Source organism: Homo sapiens, chromosome 7 (genome assembly GCF_000001405.40).
Source record: "Homo sapiens chromosome 7, GRCh38.p14 Primary Assembly".
Classification (NCBI taxonomy): Eukaryota; Metazoa; Chordata; class Mammalia; order Primates; family Hominidae; genus Homo; species Homo sapiens.
Genome location: NC_000007.14, coordinates 6,502,445 through 6,522,459, shown reverse-complemented (window position 1 = coordinate 6,522,459; position 20,015 = coordinate 6,502,445). Strand labels below are relative to the sequence as shown.

Genomic DNA, 20,015 nt, shown 5'->3' with positions numbered 1-20,015 from the left:
CCCTGACAGGACCTTTCTGTGTGGGGCTAAGAACAGTGTATGGAGCAGGGACTCAAGAAGTACTGATGCTGCCTGAGTCCTGCCCTCCAGACCTCCCTCTTCTCCAGCACTGGGGGTCCATGCTGTACCCCTGCTAGGGGATCACTCCCGTGGTCCTTAGATCCTTAGAGCAGCTGAGATCAGAGACGTGCAGAGTCTATTACAGGGGTCTGCTGACCTGATTTGACTCTCCTCTGCCACCCATGCCTATGGGGCTCTGTATTTTTTTTCTTGGTAGAGATGGGGTCTCGCTATGTTGCCCAAGCTGGTCTCGAACTCCTGGGCTCAAGCGATCCTCCTGCCTTGGCCTCCCAAAGTGCTGAGGTTACAGGTGTGAGCCACCATGCCCGGCAAGCTATGGGTCTCTGAGTCTCCATTTCTCGCCTGTAAAACAGGATAGCATCCTGCTCTCAAAGTGGTACCCTGCCCAGCTGACCGGCACACCCTCTCTTCTTGCTTCCAGGGAGCCCAGCTGACAATGCTGCCCTCAAGTCAGGTGACCGGATCCTCTTCCTCAATGGACTGGACATGAGGTCAGAGGCTATTGGGGACACCAGGGGTTGGTGAGGAGCTGCCCCCACCCCCTGCAAGACTCCTGCCTCTTGGGGCACCCAGGCTGTGATCACAATCTCCTCTCACCATTTGGTCCCCAGGGTCTGTCCCTCTTCCAATGGGAACTCTTGAATCTAACCCTCCTCCTCGCCAGTCGCCAACTCTAGCCAGGACCTCAGTTCATCCTTCCAACCAGAAAATACTCCAGCTCCATGCTGGGGACACAGAGTCACACAGAGGTGGTCTTGCTGTGTGACCTCTGTGGGCAGGACAGGGAGGTCTGGCTGGTGGCCGTGGACAGGGCTCACCCCAGTCAGGCCCTCCTGGGCCATCTCTGCTTGGCAGGAACTGCTCCCACGACAAGGTGGTGTCCATGCTGCAGGGCAGTGGTGCCATGCCCACGCTGGTGGTGGAGGAAGGGCTCGTCCCATTTGCCAGTGGTGAGACCCCCATGGACACTTGGCTTCCTTGGCCCCCAGAGACCCTGCCCAGGCTGCTATATGTGAGAGTCACAGTGCGGAGGACTCAGCTCTTCCCCTAAACCTGCAGCTTGCCTCCCCGGGGCTGCCTCCTAAGTGGTGCTATAGAACCCCAGTGAGGCTGGGCATGGTGGCTCATGCCTGGAATCCCAGCACTTTGGGAGGCCAAGGTGGGAGGATCGCTTGAGGCCAGGAGTTTGAGACCAGTCTGAGCAACATGGCACAACTCTGTCTCTACTAAAAATACAAAAACTAGCTGGGCGTGATGGCACGTGCCTGTAGTCCCAGCTACTTGGGAGGCTGAGGCAAGAGAATCACTTGAACCCAGGAAGCGGAGGTTGCAGTGAGCCGAGATCACGCCATTGCACTCCCGCCTGGGCAACAGAGCAAGACTCTGTCTCAAAACAAACAAACAAAAAACCCTAGTGTATAGCCTTAGGGACCCTTCCCAGGGCTGACTCCCTCTATCCTTGGCCCCGGTGTCGGGCCACAGGCATGCCTTCCCATGCATGGCACTGGACAGCCACACCCCAGCTCAGGAGGTCTCCTGACCTCAAAAGCCAGGGAGACTACACCTGGCCTGGGGACTCTGAGTCACTCATGCCTCTCCCGCCTGTGGTCCCAGCAGACTCCGATTCTCTGGACTCACCCAACCCGTCGTCGGCGCTCACCTCCCTGCAGTGGGTGGCGGAGATCCTGCCGTCCAGCATCCGGGTCCAAGGGAGGACCTTCAGCCAGCAGCTGGAGCACCTACTCACACCTCCTGAGCGCTATGGGGTCTGCCGGGCCCTCGAGAGCTTCTTCCAGCACAGGTGGCCGGGCCAAAGCCGCGGTGGGGCCCTGCCCTGGGTGGGCCCTAAGTCCTGCCTAGACTCACATCCCAGTCTCCCTGCCTGAACCTCCTCAGTCCCGTTCTCCTGGGGGATGCTCAGGAAGGTGGCTGCTGGTATCAGGGGCCCCAGGGTGGTGGGCAATTGAGCTGCCCTGGAACAATCTCTGACTCTGACACCTCCTAGTCACGTGACCTTGGGCGAGTCTCAGCCTTCTCTGTGAAGTGAGGCAGACAGGAACCACCTGCAACATTCTATTTTTTTTTTTTGAGATGGAGTCTCGCTCTATCACCCAGCTGGAGTGCAATGATGAGATCTTGGCTCACTGCAGCCTCCGCCTCCTGGGTTCAAGCGATTCTTCTGCCTCAGCCTCCGAGTAGCTGGGATTACAGGTGCCCACCACCACACCCGGCTAATTTTTTTGTATTTTTACTAGAGACAGGGTTTTACTAGAGACAGGGTTTCACTATGTTGGTCAGGCTGGTCTCAAACTCCTGACCTCGTGATCTGCCCGCCTCGGCCTCCCAAAGTGCTGGGATTACAGGCGTGAGCCACCGTGCCTTGGCCCACCTGCAGCATTCTTGATGGGACCTTCACCAGAGCCCCACCTGTGGGCACTTGTCATGGGCTAGGCCCTTCGGGGTAGGGTTGGTGTCTTTCTTTTTGGACCTCAGCTGCAGCCAGCTGCATTTATCACACTCCTCGGTCCATGGGGTCATTATTATGGTCTCTGCAAAGCCTGTCACTTGTCCATACCTTTTTGTTTTGTTTGAAGGGTTTTTTATTTTTGTTTTTGTTTTTTGAGATGGTGTTTCACTCTCGTTGCCCAGGCTGGAGTGCAGTGGTGCGATCTCGGCTCACCGCAACCCCCACCTCCCGGACTCAAGCGATTCTCCTGCCTCAGCCTCCCAAGTAGCTGGGATTACAGGCATATGCCACCACGCCTGGCTAATTTTGTACTTTTAGTAGAGATAGGGTTTCTCCATGTTGGTCAGGCTGGTCTCAAACTCCCGACCTCAGGTGATCCACCTGCTTCAGCCTCCCAAAGTGCTGGGATTACAGGCATGAGTCACCGCACCTGGCCTGGTTTGGTTTTGTTTTTTAAAAAAGATGGGGAGGTCTCACTATGTTACCCAGGCTGGTCTCGAACTCTTGGGCTCAAGTGATCGTCCCAAAGTGCTGCGGTTACAGGCATGAGCCACTGTACTTGGCTCTAAAGAGTCTTAAGATGTAATTCACATACTATACAATTTGCCATTTAATTATACAATTCAGTGGTTTTTAGTATATTCACAAATACGTGCAAACATCACCACGGTCCATTTTAAAACTTCATCACATCAAAAAGAAACCCAGGCCAGACACCTATAATCCCAGCACTTTGGGAGGCTGAGGCAGGAGGATCGCTTGAGCCCAGGAGTTCAAAACCAGTCTGGGCAACAGAGCAAGAAGCCATCTCTACAAAAAGAAAAAATTAGCTGGGCATGGTGGTGCGCACCTGTAGTTCCAGCTACTTGGGAGGCTGAGGCAGGAGAATCACTTGAACCCAGGAGGCAGAGATTGCAGTGAGCCAAGATCACACCACTGCTCTCCAGCCTGGGTGACAAAATGAGACTTCGTCTCAAAAAAAAACAAAAAAACAAAAAAAAACTGTGCTTGATATCATGTTTTGTGTCTAACTTATTCACCAATTACTATGTGTTTAGCTCTGTCCAATGTATATTTCATACATTGATTATAACTAAAGCCAAATTCCTTTAGATCACAGTGATGCCCAACTTTTTATTTTTGCTAGTTTCTTTTTTTTAATTTTTATTTTTTGTTTGAGATGGAGTCTTACTCTGTCATCAGGCTGGAGTACAGTGGCGTGCTCTCGGCTCACTGCAACCTCCCCCTCCTGGGTTCAAGCGATTCTCCTGCCTCAGCCTCCCGAGTAGCTGGGACTACAGGCACTCTCCACCACGCCCAGCTAATTTTTGTATTTTTAGTAGAAACAGGGTTTCACCATGTTGGCCAGGATGGTCTTGATCTCTTGACCTCGTGATCTGCCCACTTCAGCCTCCCAAAGTGCTGGGATTACAGGTGTGAGCCACGACACCCGGCCTATTTTTGCTACTTTCTTAGCCATAAAAGTGACATCCTGTTATTTTTATTTGATTTTCTTCTATTACTAATTATTTTAAGCATCTTTTAATATGCTTGTGAACTTTTTCTGGGATTTTTCTCTATAAATTACTGTTCATACCCTTTGTCCATTTTTGTTTTCTTGGACTTTTTGTCCTTGTTGACTGGCATGAAGTTTCTTGTATATTTTATTTTATTTATTTTCTGAGACAGGGTCTCACTCTGTCACCCAAGCTGGAGTGCAGTGGTGCAAACACAGCTCACTGCAGCCTCGAACTCCCAGGCTGAAGTGATCCTTGTGCCTCTGCCCCCCAGGTAGTTGGGACTACAGGCACTCGCCTACCATGCCCAGCTAATTTTTTTTTTTTTTTTAGTAGAGACAGGGTTTTGCCATGTTGCTGGTCTTGAACTCCTGGGCTCAAAAGATTTGCCCATTTTAGCCTTCCAAAGTGCTGGGATTACAGGTGTGAGCCACTGCTCCCAGCCCCTTGTATATTTTATTTTATTTATTTATTTATTTATTTATTTATTTTGAAGCAGAGTTTTGCTCTGTCGCCCAGGCTGGAGTTCAGTGGCATGATCTTGGCTCACTTCAACCTCTGCCTTCCCGGTTCAAGTGTGTCTCCTGCCTCAGCCTCCTGAGTAGCTGGGATTACAGGCGCCCACCACCATGCCTGGCTAATTTTTGTACTTTTAGTAGAGATGGGGTTTCACCATGTTGGCCAGGCTGGTCTCGAACTCCTGACTCAGGTGATCCCCCTGCCTCAGCCTGCCAAAGTGCTGGGATGACTTGTGAGCCACGACGGCTGGACACCTTTGTATATTTTAGATGCTGATTTCTCCTTGATTTTGAACATTGTAAATTTCTCTCCCATTTGTTACTTCTGTTATTAGGTCTGTTGTGTCTAATATGAATGTGTCTAAGTTGGGCTTCCTTGAATAGATAACCTTGATTTTGCATAATCAAACTCACCACATTTTTGGTCTTATAGTTTTGTGTAGGGTCCAGCCCTACAGGGCCTGTGGGTTTTTCTCTTCGTGTGCGGAGATGAGAGATCGTAGAAATAAAGACACAAGACGGCTGGGCGCGGTGGCTCATGCCTGTAATCCCAGCACCTTGGGAGGCTGAGATGGGCAGATCACGAGGTCAGGAGATCGAGACCATCCTGGCTAACATGGTGAAACCCCGTCTCTACTAAAAATACAAAAAAAAAATAGCCGGGCGTGGTGGCAGGCGCCTGTAGTCCCAGCTACTCGGGAGGCTGAGGCAGGAGAATGGTGTGAACCTGGGAGGCGGAGCTTGCAGTGAGACGAGATTGTGCCACTGCACTCCAGCCTGGGTGACAGAGCCAGACTGTCTCAAAAAAAAAAAAAAGAAAGAAAGACACAAGACAAAGAGATAGAAGAAAAGACAGCTGGGCCCGGGGGACCACTACCACCAAGACGCGGAGACCAGTAGTGGCCCCGAATGCCTGGCCGTGCTGTTATTTATTGTGTACAAGGCAAAGGGGCAGGGTATGGAGTGAGAGTCATCTCCAATGATAGGTAAGGTCATGTGAGTCACGTGTCCGCCAGACAGGGGGCCCTTCCCTATTTGGTAGCTGAGGCGGAGAGAAAGAGGGGACAGCTTACGTAATTATTTCTTCTATGCATTTTAAAGACTTTAGTACTTTCACTAATTCTGCTGCTGCTATCTAGAAGGTGGAGCCGAGTGCACAGGGCAGAACATGAATGCGGACCAGGAGCGTGACCACTGAAGCACAGCATCACAGGGACAGCGTTAGGCCTCTGGGTGGCTGCGGGCGGGCAAGCAGTGGTGGAGCAGAGTCTTCTTTAACTCCACCAGGAAAGGGAGACTCCCTTTCCCGGTCTGCTAAGCAACGGGTGCCTTCCCAGGCACTGGCGTTACCAGTAGACCAGGGAGCCCTCTAGTGGCCCTGTCCAGGCATAACGGAGGGCTCACACTCTTGTCTTTTGGTCACTTCTCACCGTGTCCCTTCAGCTCCTATCTCTGTATGGCCTGGTTTCTCCTAGGTTATAATTGTAGGACAAAGATTATTATAATATTGGAATAAACAGTAATGCTACAAACTAATTATTAATAATATTCATATACATATCTATAATCTATTTCTAGTATAACTATTCTTATTCTATGTATTTTCTTTATTATATTGGAACAGCTTGTGCCCTCGGTCTCTTGCCTTGGCATCTGGGTGGCTTGCCGCCCACAGTTTTGGCTTTTGAAATTTTAAGCTCTTCCCTGCTTCTAGGTCAAAAGATATTCTCCTACTTTATTTTTATTTATTTATTTATTTATTTTTTATTATTATTATTTTGAGACGGGGTCTTGCTCTGTCACCCAGGCTGGAGTGCAATGGCGCGATCTCAGCTCACTGCAACCTCCACCTCCCGGGTTCAAGCGATTCTGCTGCCTCAGCCTCCCGAGTAGCTGGGATTACAGGCACACACCACCACGCCTGGCTGATTTTTGTATTTTTAGTAGAGAGGGGGTTTCACCACGTTGGCCAGACTGGTCTCGAACTCCTGAGCTCGTGATCCACCCACCTCAGCCTCCCAAAGTGCTAGGATTACAGGCGTGAGCCACCACCCCCAGCCTATTTTTATTTTTGTTTATTTATTTATTTTTTTGAGACAGAGTCTCGCTCTGTGGCCCAGGATGGAGTGTAGTGGCGCAATCTTGGCTCGGTGCAACCTCCGCCTCCCCGAGCTCAGGCGAGGCGATTCTCCTGCCTCAGCCTCCTGAGTAGCTGGGATTACAGGTGCACACCAACATGCCTACCACATTTTTGTATTTTTTTGTAGAAACAGGGTTTACCATGTTGGCTAAGCTGATCTTGAGCTCCCGACCTCAGATGATTCGCCTGCCTCAGCCTCCCAAAGTGCTGGGATTATAGGCATGAGCCACCATGCCTGGCCTGCTCTATATGTTTTTTGGTTTTTTGGGTTTTTTTGAGACAGAGTCTTGCTCTGTCACCCAGGCTGGAGTGCAGTGGCGCAATCTCAGCTCACTACAACCTCCGCCTCCCAGTCTAAGCGATTCTCCTACTTCAGCCTCCTGAGTAGCTGGGACTGAGGGTACATGCCACCACGCCCAGCTAATTTTTGTATTTTTAGTAGAGAGGGGGTTTCACTATGTTGGCCAGACTGGTCTTGAACTCCCGATCTGAGGTGATCCAACCGCCTCGGCCTCCCACAGTGCTGGGATTACAGGCGTGAGCCGCCACGCCAGGCCTGCTCTGTGTGTTTTAATCTTCACAACAGCTCTATGAGGTAGATGCTATTTTTATCCCCATTTTACAAATGAGGAAACTGAGGCACAGAGAGGGTAAGTCACTTGAGAAAGGTCACTTAGCTGGTAAGTGGCAGAGCTGAGATTGGAGTCTGGCTACCCTATCCCTGGAGCCTGCCTTCCTGCCCACTTCTCTCTCTCTCTCTTTTTCTTTTCTTTTTTTTTTTTTTTGAGTTGGAGTCTCACTCTGTCTCCCAGGCTGGAGTGCAGTGACACGATCTCAGCTCACTGCAACCTCCACTTCCCAGGCTCAAGCAATTCTCCTGCCTCAGCCTCCCGAGTAGCTGGGATTACAGGTGTGCACCACCACACCTGACTAATTTTTATACTTTCAGTAGAGACGGCCTTTCACCATGTTGGCTGGGCTGGTCTCGAACTCCTGACCTCAAATGATCCACCTGCCTCGGCCTCTCAAAGTGCTGGGATTACAGGCGTGAGCCACTGTGCCCGGCCCCCACTTCTGTCTTTGAAGGGTAGGGATAGGGCATGAGGGCAGACGCTGTGGCTTGGAAGTGCCGTCTTGTCTACCCCCACTCTGTGCATCATGGTAAGCCCGTGAGTATTGAGCCTCACATTCCTGCACCTTCCCCCAGGAACATCGACACCCTCATCGTTGACGTCTACCCTGTGCTGGACACCCCTGCCAAGCAGGTCCTGTGGCAGTTCATCTACCAGCTGCTGACCTATGAGGAGCAGGAGCTCTGTCAGGAGAAAATCGCATGCTTCCTGGGCTACACGGCCATGACAGGTAAGCGTCCTCTCCCCTGCCACTTCCCTGCCTGCAGCTGCTGACTGTCCAGCTCACCAGGTGAACAGACAGACACCTGTTCTCACATGTGAAGGTGTTTGTTTGCTTGTTTGTTTGTTTTGAAATGGAGTCTCACTCTTGTGCCCCAGGCTGGAGTGCAATGGCACGATCTTGGCTCACTGCAACCTCCGCCTCCCAAGTTCAAGCGATTCTCCTGCGTCAGCCTCCCGAGTAGCTGGGACTAAAGGCGCATGTCACTACGCCCAGCTATTCTTTTGTGTTTTTAGTAGAGAAGAGGTTTCACCATGTTAACCATGATGGTCTCTATCTCCTGACCTCATGATCCACCCACCTCGGCCTCCCAAAGCACTGGGATTACAGGTGTGAGCCACCACGCCCAGCCTTTTTTTTTTTTTTTTTTTTTTTTGAGACGGAGTCTTGCTCTGTCGCCCAGGCTGGAGTGTCGTGGTGCCATCATGGCTCACCGCAGCCTCAACCTCCTGGGCTCAAGTGATCCTCCCACTCCGGCCTCCCAAAGCACAGGGATTACAGGTGTGAGCCACTGCATCTGGCCTCACCTATGAGGTCTTACAGCCGATTTGGGCCCCTCCCACATAGAAGTGTCCACAGCCATGCACGTACACACCCAATACACCAGGGCTAGGCCCACACGTGGCCCCACGGACGCGCCTTCCCAGCGTGACCTTTATGCAGCATATACAACATAACCTGAGACTTTAGACACTGCACCTAACCACCTGCAGTCTCAGTTTTTGCACCCACAAAATGGAAGTGGTCTCAGTGGCTGCGCTCTGTACTCTGAGAAGTGGAACTTGTGAGAAGGAACTCGTGTAAGGCTGGACGTGGTGGCTCACACCTATAATCCCAGCATTTTAGGAGACTGAGGTGGAAGCATCACTTGAGCTCAGGAGCTCAAGATTAGCCTGGGCAACATAGCAAGAGCCTGTCTCTACCAAAAAAAAAAAAAGTTTTAATTTAGCCAGGTGTGATGCACACCTGTAGTCCCGGCTACTTAGGAGGCTGAGGTGGGAAGATGGCTTGAGTGCAGGAGATCAAGGCTGCAGTGAGCTATGATCAAGCTACTGCCTCCAGAAAAAAAAAAAGGAAAGAAAAAAAGAAAAAAGAAAGAAACTCACGTGGTTGCCAGACATGCCAACACCACCACCAGGATCATGAGCACACGACCACATCCCACCTGGCTGGTGGGCTCCCAGTGTACTCTTTCTTGCACACACACAGGCCTGCAGTGCCATGTGTGGCTGCCACCTGTCTGTTCAGCGTGCCCTCCGAATGCCCACAAACCCCTGCACTCAGCATGCAGGTCATGTGGATGGAAGGTGTGCCGAAGCCTGTGTTCTACCCTGTTCTAGGCATCCTGCACCTGCTATGAAAGCCGCTGCAGGTGCAGTGGTTCACTCTTGTAATCCCAGCACTTTGGTAGGCTGAGGTGGGTGGATCACTTGAGGTCAGGAGTTCCAAGTCCAGCTTGGGCAACACAACAAGACCCCCATATATTCAAAATATTTAAAAATCAGCCAGGGGTGGCCGTGCGCGGTGACTCACGTCTGTAATCCCAGCACTTTGTGGAGCTGAGGCAGGCCAATCACGTGAGGTCAGGAGTTCGAGACAAGCCTGGCCAACATGGGGAAACCTCATCTGTACTAAAAATACAAAAATAAGCCAGGTGTGGTGGTACGCAGTTGTAATTCCAACTACTCGGGAGGCTGAGGCAGGAGAATTGCTTGAACCTGGGAGACGGAGGTTGCAGTGAGCTGAGATCGCACCACTACACTCCAACCTGGGCAACACGGTGAGACTCCATCTCAAAGAAAAAAAAAATAAAAAATTAGCCAGGCGTGGTGGTATGCACCTGTAGTCCCAGCTACTTGGGAGGATGAGGTGGGAGGAGCACTTGAGCTCAGGAGTTGGAGACCAGCCTGGGCAACATAGCAAAAAAATTTGAAATTAGCTGGGTGTGGTGGCACACACCTGTAATCCCAGCTGCAGGGGAGGCTCAGGCAGGAGGATCTGTTGAGCCTGGGATTCAAGGCTGCACTGAGCCTTGATTGCACTCCAGCCTGGGGGACAGAGTGAGACCTGTCACAAAAAAAAAAAAAAAAAAGAAGAAAAGAAAAAAAGGCAGGTGTGGTGGCTCACATCTGTAATCCCAGCACTTTCAGAGGCTGAGGCAGGTGGATCACCTGAGGTTAGGAGTTGAAGACCAGCCTGTCCAATATGGTGAAACCCCATCTCTGCTTAAAAAAAAAAAATACAAAAATTTAGCCAGGCATGGTGGTGCATGCCTGTGGTCCCAGCTACTTGGGAAGCTGAGGCTCGAGAATCATTTGAACCTGGGAGGTGGAGGTTGCAGTGAGCTGAGATTGTGCCACTGCACTCCAACCTGGATGAGAAAGCCAGACTCTGAATAAATAAAGAGAGAAAGAGAGAAAGAGACAGAGAGAGAGAAAAGAGAGAAAGAGAGAAAGTGAGAGAAGGAAGAGAAGGAAGGAAAGGAAAGGAAGGAAAGGGAAGGGGCCGCTGCAGAGTTGCTGGTCCTTGTGTGCCCATGAGCTGCAGTCCCAGGGACCCACAATTTGCTAGGGTTTTAGCGAGAAGCTCAGGATCCATGCTGGACCACACATGCCTTACATATCTGCGTAGGCTCAAAAAACTTCTATTTTGGCCGGGAGCAGTGGCTCACACCTGTAATCCCAGCACTTTGGGAGGCCGAGGCAGGCGGATCACCTGAGGTCAGGAACTTGAGACCAGCCTAGCCCACATGTTGAAACCATATCTCTACTAAAAATACAAAAATTAGCCAGGCATGGTGACGGACACCTGTAATCCCAGCTACTTGGGAGGCTGAGGCAGGAGAATCGCTTGAACCTGGGAGGTGGAGGTTGCAGTGAGCTGAGATTGCACCACTGCACTCCCACCTGGGCAACAAGAGCAAAACTCAGTCTCAAAAAAAAAACACTTCTATTTTGCCCATAATCCTCTCTGGGCAGCAGTGACTTGGCCTGGGGCAAGCACAGGGCGTTGAGACTCTGGAAGCTGTTGTCATGAGATCTCTGCTAGGCCCCTGAGTTCAGGCTAGCTGCATTCTGGTGCTGCATTCTGGTGCTGCTCCTGGCACCTGGTTTCTTGCCCTGGGGCTTCCCCTCAAGAGCTGTTCTGGAGGCAAGCAGGGCAGGCCCCGTAGCTTGGGGTCTGCATATTGGTGCAGATGACATCTGCCCTCCCCTCCCTGTTTTGGAGGTCCCTTGTCTGGCTGAGAGGGCAAGAGGGCCCCATGTTCCCTGCATGTCCCACAGCAGAGCCGGAGCCTGAGCTGGACCTGGAGTCCGAGCCCACGCCTGAGCCCCAGCCGCGGAGCTCCCTGCGGGCTTCCTCCATGTGCCGCCGCAGCCTCCGGTCCCAGGGCCTGGAGGCCGGCCTCAGCTGCGGTAAGGCTGGTGTCAGGGGGAGGGTATGAATGGAGCTCAGTTTTCCCACCTGCAAAATGGGCTTGGTGAGGTGGGGAATCCCAGGGAATGGGGCTAAGCAGGGCTCAGGATTGGCCCTCCTGGGTCTGCGGGGCATGTTGGTTCTGGGCCGGGGCCTGAGCCGTAGAGCTCAGATACGGTAATGACATTATTCCCCGGTAGGTCCCAGCGAGTGCCCTGAGATGCCTCTTCCCCTGATCCCAGGCGAGCGCCAGGCAGGCGACGGCACGTCCCTCCCTGAGACCCCCAACCCCAAGATGGTGAGACCTTCTCTGCCCTCCACGTGGGGTCAGTAGGGGGCAGGGAATGGACGGTCCATAGGACTGGGCCCAGGAGACCCAGGCCAAGGCGTCCCTGTGCTGCTTCAGGCTGGGGCATATCCCTGCCTCCCGGCCCACCCAGGCCTGGACCACATTAGGGCTACGAGGGGAAGCAGAATGGGCTGGACTCTCCCCCGTCTCCCTCCAGATGTCAGCCGTCTATGCAGAGCTTGAGTCTCGACTGAACAGCAGCTTCAAAGGGAAGATGGGGACCGTGTCCAAATCCCGGGCTTCCCCTCCAGGCCCCAGCCCAGCAGTCACCACAGGTAGGGCTCCAGCCTCTGTCATCTACTGTCTGGGTGTTTCCCTCCACCCCAGGCTCAGCCCTGGAGCTGCTTCTCTGCTCCATCAGGGTCAGGGTTGTCCCAGTCCCTCCCATGGCCCTGTGACCCTCACCTCAGCTGTGGATCAAGAAAGTAGCCTGGGTACCGTGGGTCGTGCCTGTAATCCCAGCACTTTGGGAGGCCGAGGCAGGAGGATCAATGGAGCCCAGGAGTTTGAGACCAGCCTGGCAACATAGTGAGGCCCCATCTCTAACAAAAAAAATACAAAATTAGCTGGGCATGGTTGCATATGCCTGTAGTCCCAACTCCTCAAGAGGCTGAGGCGGGAGGATCACTTGAGCCCAGGAGTTCAAGGCTGCAGTGAGCTATTTCGAACCACTGCACTCTAGCCTATAAGCAACAGAGTAAGACCCTGTCTTAAAAAAGAAAAAGAAAGAAGGCAGATGCCTGATTCTGAGGAAGTCCCCGAGTTAGCAAGTGGTTATTGGATAAATGATCAAGTGCAACGCGTTGTACCAGCGTTGGCACAGCTGGGAAGACAGTTGCTCTGCAGCTCAGAAGGCAGGAGCCCTGGGAGGCCCTCCTGTGATCTCAGGGCTTGCTGGGTGCGCGAGACGCTCCATGACTGTGGCTCTGGGCCCTAGAGAAACCCCTCCACCCTTTGAGTTAATGGTGTTCAGTGGCTCCCAGCTGGGACCCCTGGTGACCATTCCAAGGTGAGCTGGCGTCCAGCCTGTCCTGAGGCCGAGCAGTGCTCCTGCTCACCAGATCTGGCCTTTAGTCATGCTTGGAAGGCAGGGCCGCTCAAGGTCTTCCTGCACTGTGCCCAGAGAGGGAAAGGAGAGTGGCCTGGGACACAGAGCCAGTCTGTCCTAGGACCCTCTCTCCAGCTTGCACCTGGAACCTCGGTGCTGGCTGAAGAGGAATCCTCATACTCCATCCCTCCTCCAGGGCCCAGGACCCTGTCCGGCGTCTCATGGCCCAGCGAGCGACTCTTGCCCTCCCCCTGCTACCACCCGCTGTGTTCGGGGGGTCTGGCCTCCCCCAGCAGCTCTGAGTCCCACCCCTACGCCAGCCTGGACAGCAGCAGGGCACCCTCCCCACAGCCAGGCCCCGGGCCCATCTGCCCCGACAGCCCCCCAAGCCCGGACCCCACCCGCCCGCCCAGCCGCAGGAAGCTCTTCACCTTCTCCCACCCTGTGCGAAGCCGCGATACTGACCGCTTCCTGGACGTGCTGAGCGAGCAGCTGGGCCCCCGGGTCACCATCGTGGATGATTTCCTGACCCCGGAGAACGACTACGAGGAGGTGGGCACGCAAGCAGGTGTGGAGGGAGGCGGGTGAGGCGAGGTGTGGCGGTCTGCAAGGCAACAGTGTTCCTGGGCTCCCGCAAGGGGCCTGCTGCCCTTGGGATCTTCCCCAGGCTATCCCACTCCCTAGCTCAAGCTATCCCACCCCTTGCCCCAGGTTACCCTATCTCCTGTTCAAGGTTATCATGCTCCTTGACTGAGGCTAGCCCATATTCCCTGTCGCAGGTTAGCCCATTCCTTAGCTCAGGCTATCCCACTCACAGCCTGAGGCTAACCCGTGACAGGGTCCTGTCCTTATTCCAGGCTATCCCCCTCACAGCCTGAGGCTTACCCATGAGAGGGTCCTATCCTTAGCCCAGGCTATCCCCCTCACAGCCTGAGGTTAACCTGTGAGACAGTCCTATCCTTAGCCCAGGTGTCCCTCACAGCCTGAGGCTAACCCGTGAGATGGCCCTGTCCTTGTCCCAGGCTATCCCATGATCCTTCACTTTGCACCTGCTCTAGTCTCTCTGGGCCCAGCCTCACCCTCCCCTTGCCTCTCTCCCCACCACCAGATGAGCTTCCATGATGACCAGGGCAGCTTCGTAACCAATGAGCGGAGCAGCGCCAGCGACTGCATCAGCAGCAGTGAAGAAGGCAGCTCCCTGACCTACTCCTCCATCTCTGACCACATCCCCCCACCCCCGCTCAGCCCCCCACCACCGCCACCCCTGCCTTTCCATGACGCTAAGCCCAGCTCCCGCAGCTCTGATGGTTCCCGGGGCCCTGCTCAGGCGCTGGCCAAGCCCCTCACCCAACTCAGCCACCCAGTCCCTCCACCACCCCCACCGCCCCTGCCCCCACCCGTGCCCTGTGCACCCCCCATGCTGTCCCGGGGCCTGGGCCACCGGCGCAGTGAGACCAGCCACATGAGCGTCAAGCGCTTGCGGTGGGAACAGGTGGAGAACTCAGAAGGCACCATCTGGGGTCAGGTAGGTGACCTGGGACCCAGCAGCGCTCTGTACTGGGGGAGGATGGCTTGGGCAGCAGCACTGAAGGAAAACCCATCGGCCAGGCATCTTCCAACATCATCCTCCCTACCCCAAGCAGAGGATGAGTAGAGGCCCAGCCCAAGAACGTCCCCACGCTTGGGGGCCACTGCAGGCATTGAAGCCAATCTGTGTCCCTCAGCCAAAGACACACACTGGGGACACCTGGAAATGCCACCCTACCCATCCTTGAAACCTATCACTTTTGAGGCCAGACAAGTTCTCTTAAACCTTTAAAAGAGCAGCTGGTTCAAACTCCTGCACACCAGCCTTCACCCTTTCACTTTGATGCTTGAAGTTCCTCCCTCACAACACTGGCAGTGTATGCTTGAACACCTTCAGTGGTGGGGAACTCACTACCTGTCAAGGTCTTCCTTTCCTCACTGGACGATTTTAACCATCCTTTGTCTTGCTCTGAAATCTTGTCTCCCCAGGATTCCCATGCCCTGTTTTCTTTCTGGCCCTTAAAATCGGGCAGAGCAATCTTATCCACAGACCAACCAATCTGCAAGATGAACAAGGTTCACCCCACCCCTTTTTTTTTTTTTCAGATCATTCTCTTAGAACATGGTTTCCAACCCCCACTCCAGTGTCCATGTCCCTGTCAAAGAGACATTCCCAGATGGAACCCCCAATGGGGCTTGACCAGCTCAGAGGAGAGAACAGGGTTCTCAGCTCCTTTGACTGGGACATCATACTCCTTTTAATATGGCAGGGGCTCCTTCCAGCTCCCAGGGCTGCCCCGTCCCAGTGCTCATGATCACCATCATCCTCAACTCCATCTTCTTGGGATCAATAGCTCACTCTCACATGTAGTCACACTGGGCAGAGGCATGCTTGTGATTTTTCCCCACTGCCATCTCCTGGGTCCCAATTCTGTCTCCTGCTTTCTCAGCCCACATCTCCAGGGACCCTTTCCAAGTTGCTAATAAAGATGCCCATTGAGGCCAGGCTTGGTGGTTCACGCCTGTAATCCCAGCACTTTGGGAGGCTGAGGCGGGAGGACTGCTTGAGCCTAAGAGTTCAAGACAAGTCTGGGCAACATAGTGAGATCTTGTCTCTACAAAAAAATCAAAAAGTTAGCCAGACCTGGTGGTGCATGCCTGTGGTCCCAGCTACTCGGGAGGCTGAAGAGGGAGAATCACTTGATTCCCACAGGTGGAGGTTGCAGTGAGCCAAGATGGCACCACTGCACTCCAGCCTGGGGTACAGAGTGAGACCCTATCTAAAAAAAAAAAAAAAAAAATACCTCAGTGAGACAAGGGCACAAATAAGGACCTCCTGGGTCCCCTGGAGACCTCACTCCTGCCAGCCTTGGACCGATCTTCAAGTATTGCTCCACAGCGTGGTTCTTCCATTGGTTACCAAAGGTGGACACAGGGACACAGGTCACACATGTGGCCAAACCCAAATCCATCCTCAGTGTCCCTGCCCTGCAGCCATGTTCTAAGACTTCATTCCCCTGCCTGCCCTCCCTTTGGGTTCTCTCCCTTTGGCAGCCACCCCGTCCGCACTCCCTGCCCCAGCCCCAGGCTGTTACCTCTCATCTATGCCATTCATCACAGCCACGTGTCCAGCGTCTGGCCCCTAGGCTGTCACAGTTGCAGTTCTCTCAGCACCAGCTCACTCTGCCCAGGGCAGCCCTGGTGAACTCACCGCTCTCCAAGGAGACCTGATGACAGAGCCAGACCCCTGAGCCACCTCCGGTAGCCCCTTACTTGGCTCTAGCCTCTTCACAGCTCCTTCATGCCCCCGCTGCAGTCCCACCTTGCTGGCTTCTGCACGAGTAGTGTTCCAAGTCTTGAGTCTCGATTGACCCCAGGAGGCGCTGGCTCAGCACCCGGTGACTCGGATGATCTGGCTTCTCCTGCAGTCTCCTCCTGCTCCGGGCTTTATCCCAGCACCTGATGGGTGCTTTTGCTCGGGAAGCCCCTATGGCAGCCCTCAGAGGGTGGGAAGTGGGAGGCCAGTCCAGCTGCTGCTGCTCCTCCTACTCTGAACCTCCCATCCTCCCTCGCAGCTCGGGGAAGACTCTGACTACGATAAGCTGAGTGACATGGTGAAATACCTCGACCTGGAGCTCCACTTCGGCACCCAGAAACCTGCTAGTGAGTGGCCTGATGGCCTTGGGGGAACCCCAGATACCACACCATCTGTGGCAGCCCCAGGCTTAGCATCTCCCAGGGCTGCACTGACTACTATTTAACCTGATGCGTCCTCAAGCCTTCAGTCCCTGAGTTATTTAATAGCTGGCATTTAGGCCGGGCACAGTGGCTCACGCCTGTCATCCCAGCACTTTGGGAGGCTGAGGTGGGTGGATCGCCTGAGCTCAGGGGTTCGAGACCAGCCTGGGCAACGTGGCGAAACCCTTGTCTCTACCGAAAATACAAAAAATTAGCCAGGCACATGGAGGATGTCTGTGGTCCCAGCTACTTGGGAGGCTGAGTTGGGAGGATCGATTGAGCCTCGGAGGTGGAGGTTGCAGTGAGCCGCGATCACACCACTGCACTCCGACCTGGTAACCTGGGTGACACAGTGAGACCCCGTCTAAAAAAAAAAAAAAAAAAAAAGCTGGCATTTACTGTGCAGTGATCAAACACCAGGGACTCTCATTTCTAAATCCCATGGCAACTCTGTGATGTACATAATGTGATCACCCCCCACTTCCTAATGAGGAAGCACAGAGAGGTCAGGTAATTTGCTCAGTCACACCGTAGACAGGAGGCATCCACAAATACATCTTCCAGGCTCTCTTGCCCTCACCCCTTCCTGGGTATCTCCCTGTCGTTGATGGGTGGAACAGGCGGTCCCAGGATGGAACAGAAAGACCTGGCTTCCTGCAGCACGGGGAGTGCACAGGACACGGGGCGGGGGAGGTTACACACAGGACCTGAAGGTCCCCGACCTGAGGAATGAAGGGACTATGGACGTGTAGCTGATTAAGTCGAGGTCGTGCTTAGGGGGATAGTGGCTGTTGGCTGTGACCACGCCACCCCTGGGCCTTCCCACTGCAGCCTCAGCCTAGCCGCCTCCGTAAACTGTCAGTTTCTTTTCCAGAACCGGTGCCGGGGCCGGAGCCCTTCCGGAAGAAGGAGGTGGTGGAGATCCTGTCCCATAAGAAGGCCTACAACACCTGTGAGGGTCCGGGGAACCCCAGGGGGTGTAGGGGGCAGGCGGCGGCCCTTTCTCTGGGCCTCAGACCTGCCCAGGTGGATGACAGAGATTAGGCGGTGGGGACCCGGCCTCCTGTCGCTCAGCGCGGTGAAGGCCCCCTCCCAGGCCCCATAGCCAGCCAGATCCCATCTGGGCGCGGGTGCTGGCCCCACCCTCACTGTCTAATCAACTTCCCGGTTCTGGCCCCGCCTCCAGCCTCATTCCCTCTCTCCTTCGCAGGCCCCGCCCTAGTCCCTGGCCCGACCCCCATAGACCCCACCCAGCTTCTCAATCTAGCGTCTCGAGAACCCCGTCCTCACCCTTAAATCGGTCGCTGAAAGACCGTCTCTATTTCAGGGCCCGCCCCTGCCCCGGCCCCCTACGGCACCCCTCGCAGGCCCCGCCCTTGTTCCTTGTCCCCTCCATTCGGTCTCCTCCCTGTAGCCGAAGCCCACCTGGAAGCTTCGCCCTCTCCCTGCTGGGCCCCGCCCTCTCCCCCCGCTCGAACTCAACCAGCAGCCCCGCTCAGTTTCCTTGCTCCTACCCGCCAGGCTCCTCACAGTAGCCCCGGCCAATCCCAAAGCCCCGCCCTCTTTCCACCCGGGCCCCGCCTCAGTTTAGCCTCATAGACCCCGCCCTGTTCATTGACCCCCACCCCTCTAGAGTTCCTCCAGTAGCCCAGTCCCCGCCCCAGCTCTGCCTCACAGGTCTACCTGCTTCCCTTGTCCCCTGCCCCTTCAGATTCCCCGCTGTATCCTGGGCCAACCTGGAAGCCCCGCCCCCTTCCTGCCAGGCCCCACCCTCTCCCGGCCCCTGCTCACCGAGCGGCCCCGCCCCCTTTCCTTTTTTCTTCCCCTTAGCCCAGGCCAATATTGAAGCGCCGTCCTCTCCCCATTCGGGAGCCGCCTCAGCTCAGCCTCTTGTCCCCGTCCGCGTTTCTTGTCCTTCCAGCCTCAAGGCCCCGTCCTCTCCCCTAGGCCCCGCCCCGTGTCCGCCCTCTCCCCGCCTCTGCCCTGCCCTCTCCGTCTTGGGTCCCATCCGGCCCCGCTCCGGCCCCGCCCAGCTCACCGCCCCGCCCCGCCCGCAGCCATCCTCTTGGCACACCTGAAGCTGAGCCCCGCGGAGCTGCGCCAGGTGCTGATGAGCATGGAGCCCCGGCGCCTGGAGCCCGCACATCTCGCGCAGCTGCTGCTCTTCGCGCCCGACGCCGACGAGGAGCAGCGCTACCAGGCCTTCCGCGAGGCGCCCGGCCGCCTCAGCGAGCCGGACCAGTTCGTCCTGCAGGTGCCGCGACCACAACCCCGCCCCGAGGCCTCGGCCGGCTCCACAGGGGCTGTCGCTGTGGCCAGGGCTGCTGGGGTCCCGCGCGCCTTCGGGGGCCGCCATTGCGCCCAAGCCTCTGAGTCCCAGTTTAACACCTTTAATGGCCGGGTCCTATCAGGGGTCCAAGGTACATGGGAGGCGGGCTCCCCCAGGGATCGTGCTTATTCTTCCTACCGGAATATCGGGCCGAAGCAGCCAGCAGATCCCCCCCTCCCACCCCAAAGCCTGCGGTGGGGCAGAGGGTCCCAGGAAGGGGATGGGTGAATCCTGGCTCTGCCTTCGAGGCAGATGCTGTCAGTTCCCGAATACAAGACACGCCTGCGCAGCCTCCACTTCCAGGCCACCCTCCAGGAGAAGACAGAGGAGATCCGAGGCAGCCTTGAATGCTTGCGCCAGGCCTCCCTGGAGCTCAAAAACAGTCGGAAGCTCGCCAAGATCCTGGAGGTCAGTGGGCGTACCCTTCCTGGCACCCTATCTGCTTCTCTGCCTCCTGGGGCTTCCAGCCTGGAGGCCCATCCAGACAGCAGGGTGGATGGGTGGTGGGGTGAGGACAGGACCTACCCACCTTCTTGTCCACAGTTTGTGTTGGCCATGGGCAACTATCTCAACGATGGACAGCCCAAAACCAACAAGACTACGGGCTTCAAGATCAACTTTCTGACAGAGGTGAGGGGACCTGCCGGCAGCAATCGACTGGTTTGCTCTACCAGCAAGGCGCTAACGCCAGGCCTAGCTCAGTTGTGGCAGAGGGCAGAAGAGGACATCGTGACCAAGGAGGGCTCTCCTCCTAGCAGGAAAAGGGCCACATTGAAGCCAGGATGTGACTGCAGCAAAGGGTGGGGTGGGGTGGGGTGGGGTGGGGGAACACACTCCCAGGATCTGGAAAAATGGAGTGAGGGAAGAGAGTTGGAAAGAGAGTGTCAAAGGCTGGGGATTGGGCTGGGTGTGGTGGCTCATGCCTGTAATCCCGGCACTTTGGAGGCCAAGGTGAGAGGATCACTTGAGGC

At 55.1% G+C, this 20,015-nt stretch overlaps 1 protein-coding gene and 1 long non-coding RNA gene across 6 annotated transcripts in view, besides 8 other annotated features; one reads left to right on the top strand and one right to left on the bottom strand.

Annotated features, from left to right (window-relative positions):
• Nucleotides 1–20,015, top strand: part of GRID2IP (Grid2 interacting protein) — a 54,684-nt gene that overhangs the window by 29,002 nt on the left and 5,667 nt on the right. For 3 of the 4 annotated variants that reach the window (NM_001145118.2, XM_047420365.1, NM_001394781.1), the window contains 14 exons: nt 503–572; nt 937–1,031; nt 1,699–1,882; nt 7,931–8,085; nt 11,421–11,552; nt 11,754–11,851; nt 12,060–12,177; nt 13,147–13,502; nt 14,059–14,475; nt 16,553–16,640; nt 17,590–17,667; nt 18,773–18,969; nt 19,297–19,452; nt 19,588–19,674. In NM_001145118.2, coding sequence (NP_001138590.1) covers nt 503–572; nt 937–1,031; nt 1,699–1,882; nt 7,931–8,085; nt 11,421–11,552; nt 11,754–11,851; nt 12,060–12,177; nt 13,147–13,502; nt 14,059–14,475; nt 16,553–16,640; nt 17,590–17,667; nt 18,773–18,969; nt 19,297–19,452; nt 19,588–19,674 — 2,231 coding nt within the window. The remainder of the gene's footprint in view (nt 1–502; nt 573–936; nt 1,032–1,698; nt 1,883–7,930; nt 8,086–11,420; nt 11,553–11,753; nt 11,852–12,059; nt 12,178–13,146; nt 13,503–14,058; nt 14,476–16,552; nt 16,641–17,589; nt 17,668–18,772; nt 18,970–19,296; nt 19,453–19,587; nt 19,675–20,015) is intronic. The other variant, NM_001388403.1, reaches the window with a different exon arrangement.
• On the bottom strand, nt 5,425–17,949 carry LOC101927325 (uncharacterized). Of its 2 annotated transcripts, XR_007060200.1 has the most exons (5): nt 16,300–17,949; nt 16,073–16,204; nt 13,416–13,554; nt 12,308–12,444; nt 5,425–6,054 (listed from the first exon to the last, which is right to left on the bottom strand). It is a non-coding gene; the product is annotated as an uncharacterized LOC101927325 (long non-coding RNA). The 2 variants fall into 2 exon arrangements; XR_927004.2 differs by lacking the exon at nt 12,308–12,444 and having other exon boundaries at nt 16,073–16,859.
• Nucleotides 17,377–17,596: an enhancer, noted in NCBI's record as "active region_25629". NCBI's record gives its function as "activates an Ori minimal core promoter by ATAC-STARR-seq in GM12878 lymphoblastoid cells {active_cell/tissue: GM12878}" and the evidence as "EXISTENCE:reporter gene assay evidence [ECO:0000049][PMID:35858748]".
• Nucleotides 17,617–17,676: an enhancer, noted in NCBI's record as "active region_25628". NCBI's record gives its function as "activates an Ori minimal core promoter by ATAC-STARR-seq in GM12878 lymphoblastoid cells {active_cell/tissue: GM12878}" and the evidence as "EXISTENCE:reporter gene assay evidence [ECO:0000049][PMID:35858748]".
• Nucleotides 17,777–17,826: an enhancer, noted in NCBI's record as "active region_25627". NCBI's record gives its function as "activates an Ori minimal core promoter by ATAC-STARR-seq in GM12878 lymphoblastoid cells {active_cell/tissue: GM12878}" and the evidence as "EXISTENCE:reporter gene assay evidence [ECO:0000049][PMID:35858748]".
• Nucleotides 18,087–18,136: a silencer, noted in NCBI's record as "silent region_17950". NCBI's record gives its function as "represses an Ori minimal core promoter by ATAC-STARR-seq in GM12878 lymphoblastoid cells {active_cell/tissue: GM12878}" and the evidence as "EXISTENCE:reporter gene assay evidence [ECO:0000049][PMID:35858748]".
• Nucleotides 18,197–18,366: a silencer, noted in NCBI's record as "silent region_17949". NCBI's record gives its function as "represses an Ori minimal core promoter by ATAC-STARR-seq in GM12878 lymphoblastoid cells {active_cell/tissue: GM12878}" and the evidence as "EXISTENCE:reporter gene assay evidence [ECO:0000049][PMID:35858748]".
• Nucleotides 18,417–18,746: a silencer, noted in NCBI's record as "silent region_17948". NCBI's record gives its function as "represses an Ori minimal core promoter by ATAC-STARR-seq in GM12878 lymphoblastoid cells {active_cell/tissue: GM12878}" and the evidence as "EXISTENCE:reporter gene assay evidence [ECO:0000049][PMID:35858748]".
• Nucleotides 18,757–18,806: a silencer, noted in NCBI's record as "silent region_17947". NCBI's record gives its function as "represses an Ori minimal core promoter by ATAC-STARR-seq in GM12878 lymphoblastoid cells {active_cell/tissue: GM12878}" and the evidence as "EXISTENCE:reporter gene assay evidence [ECO:0000049][PMID:35858748]".
• Nucleotides 18,927–19,036: a silencer, noted in NCBI's record as "silent region_17946". NCBI's record gives its function as "represses an Ori minimal core promoter by ATAC-STARR-seq in GM12878 lymphoblastoid cells {active_cell/tissue: GM12878}" and the evidence as "EXISTENCE:reporter gene assay evidence [ECO:0000049][PMID:35858748]".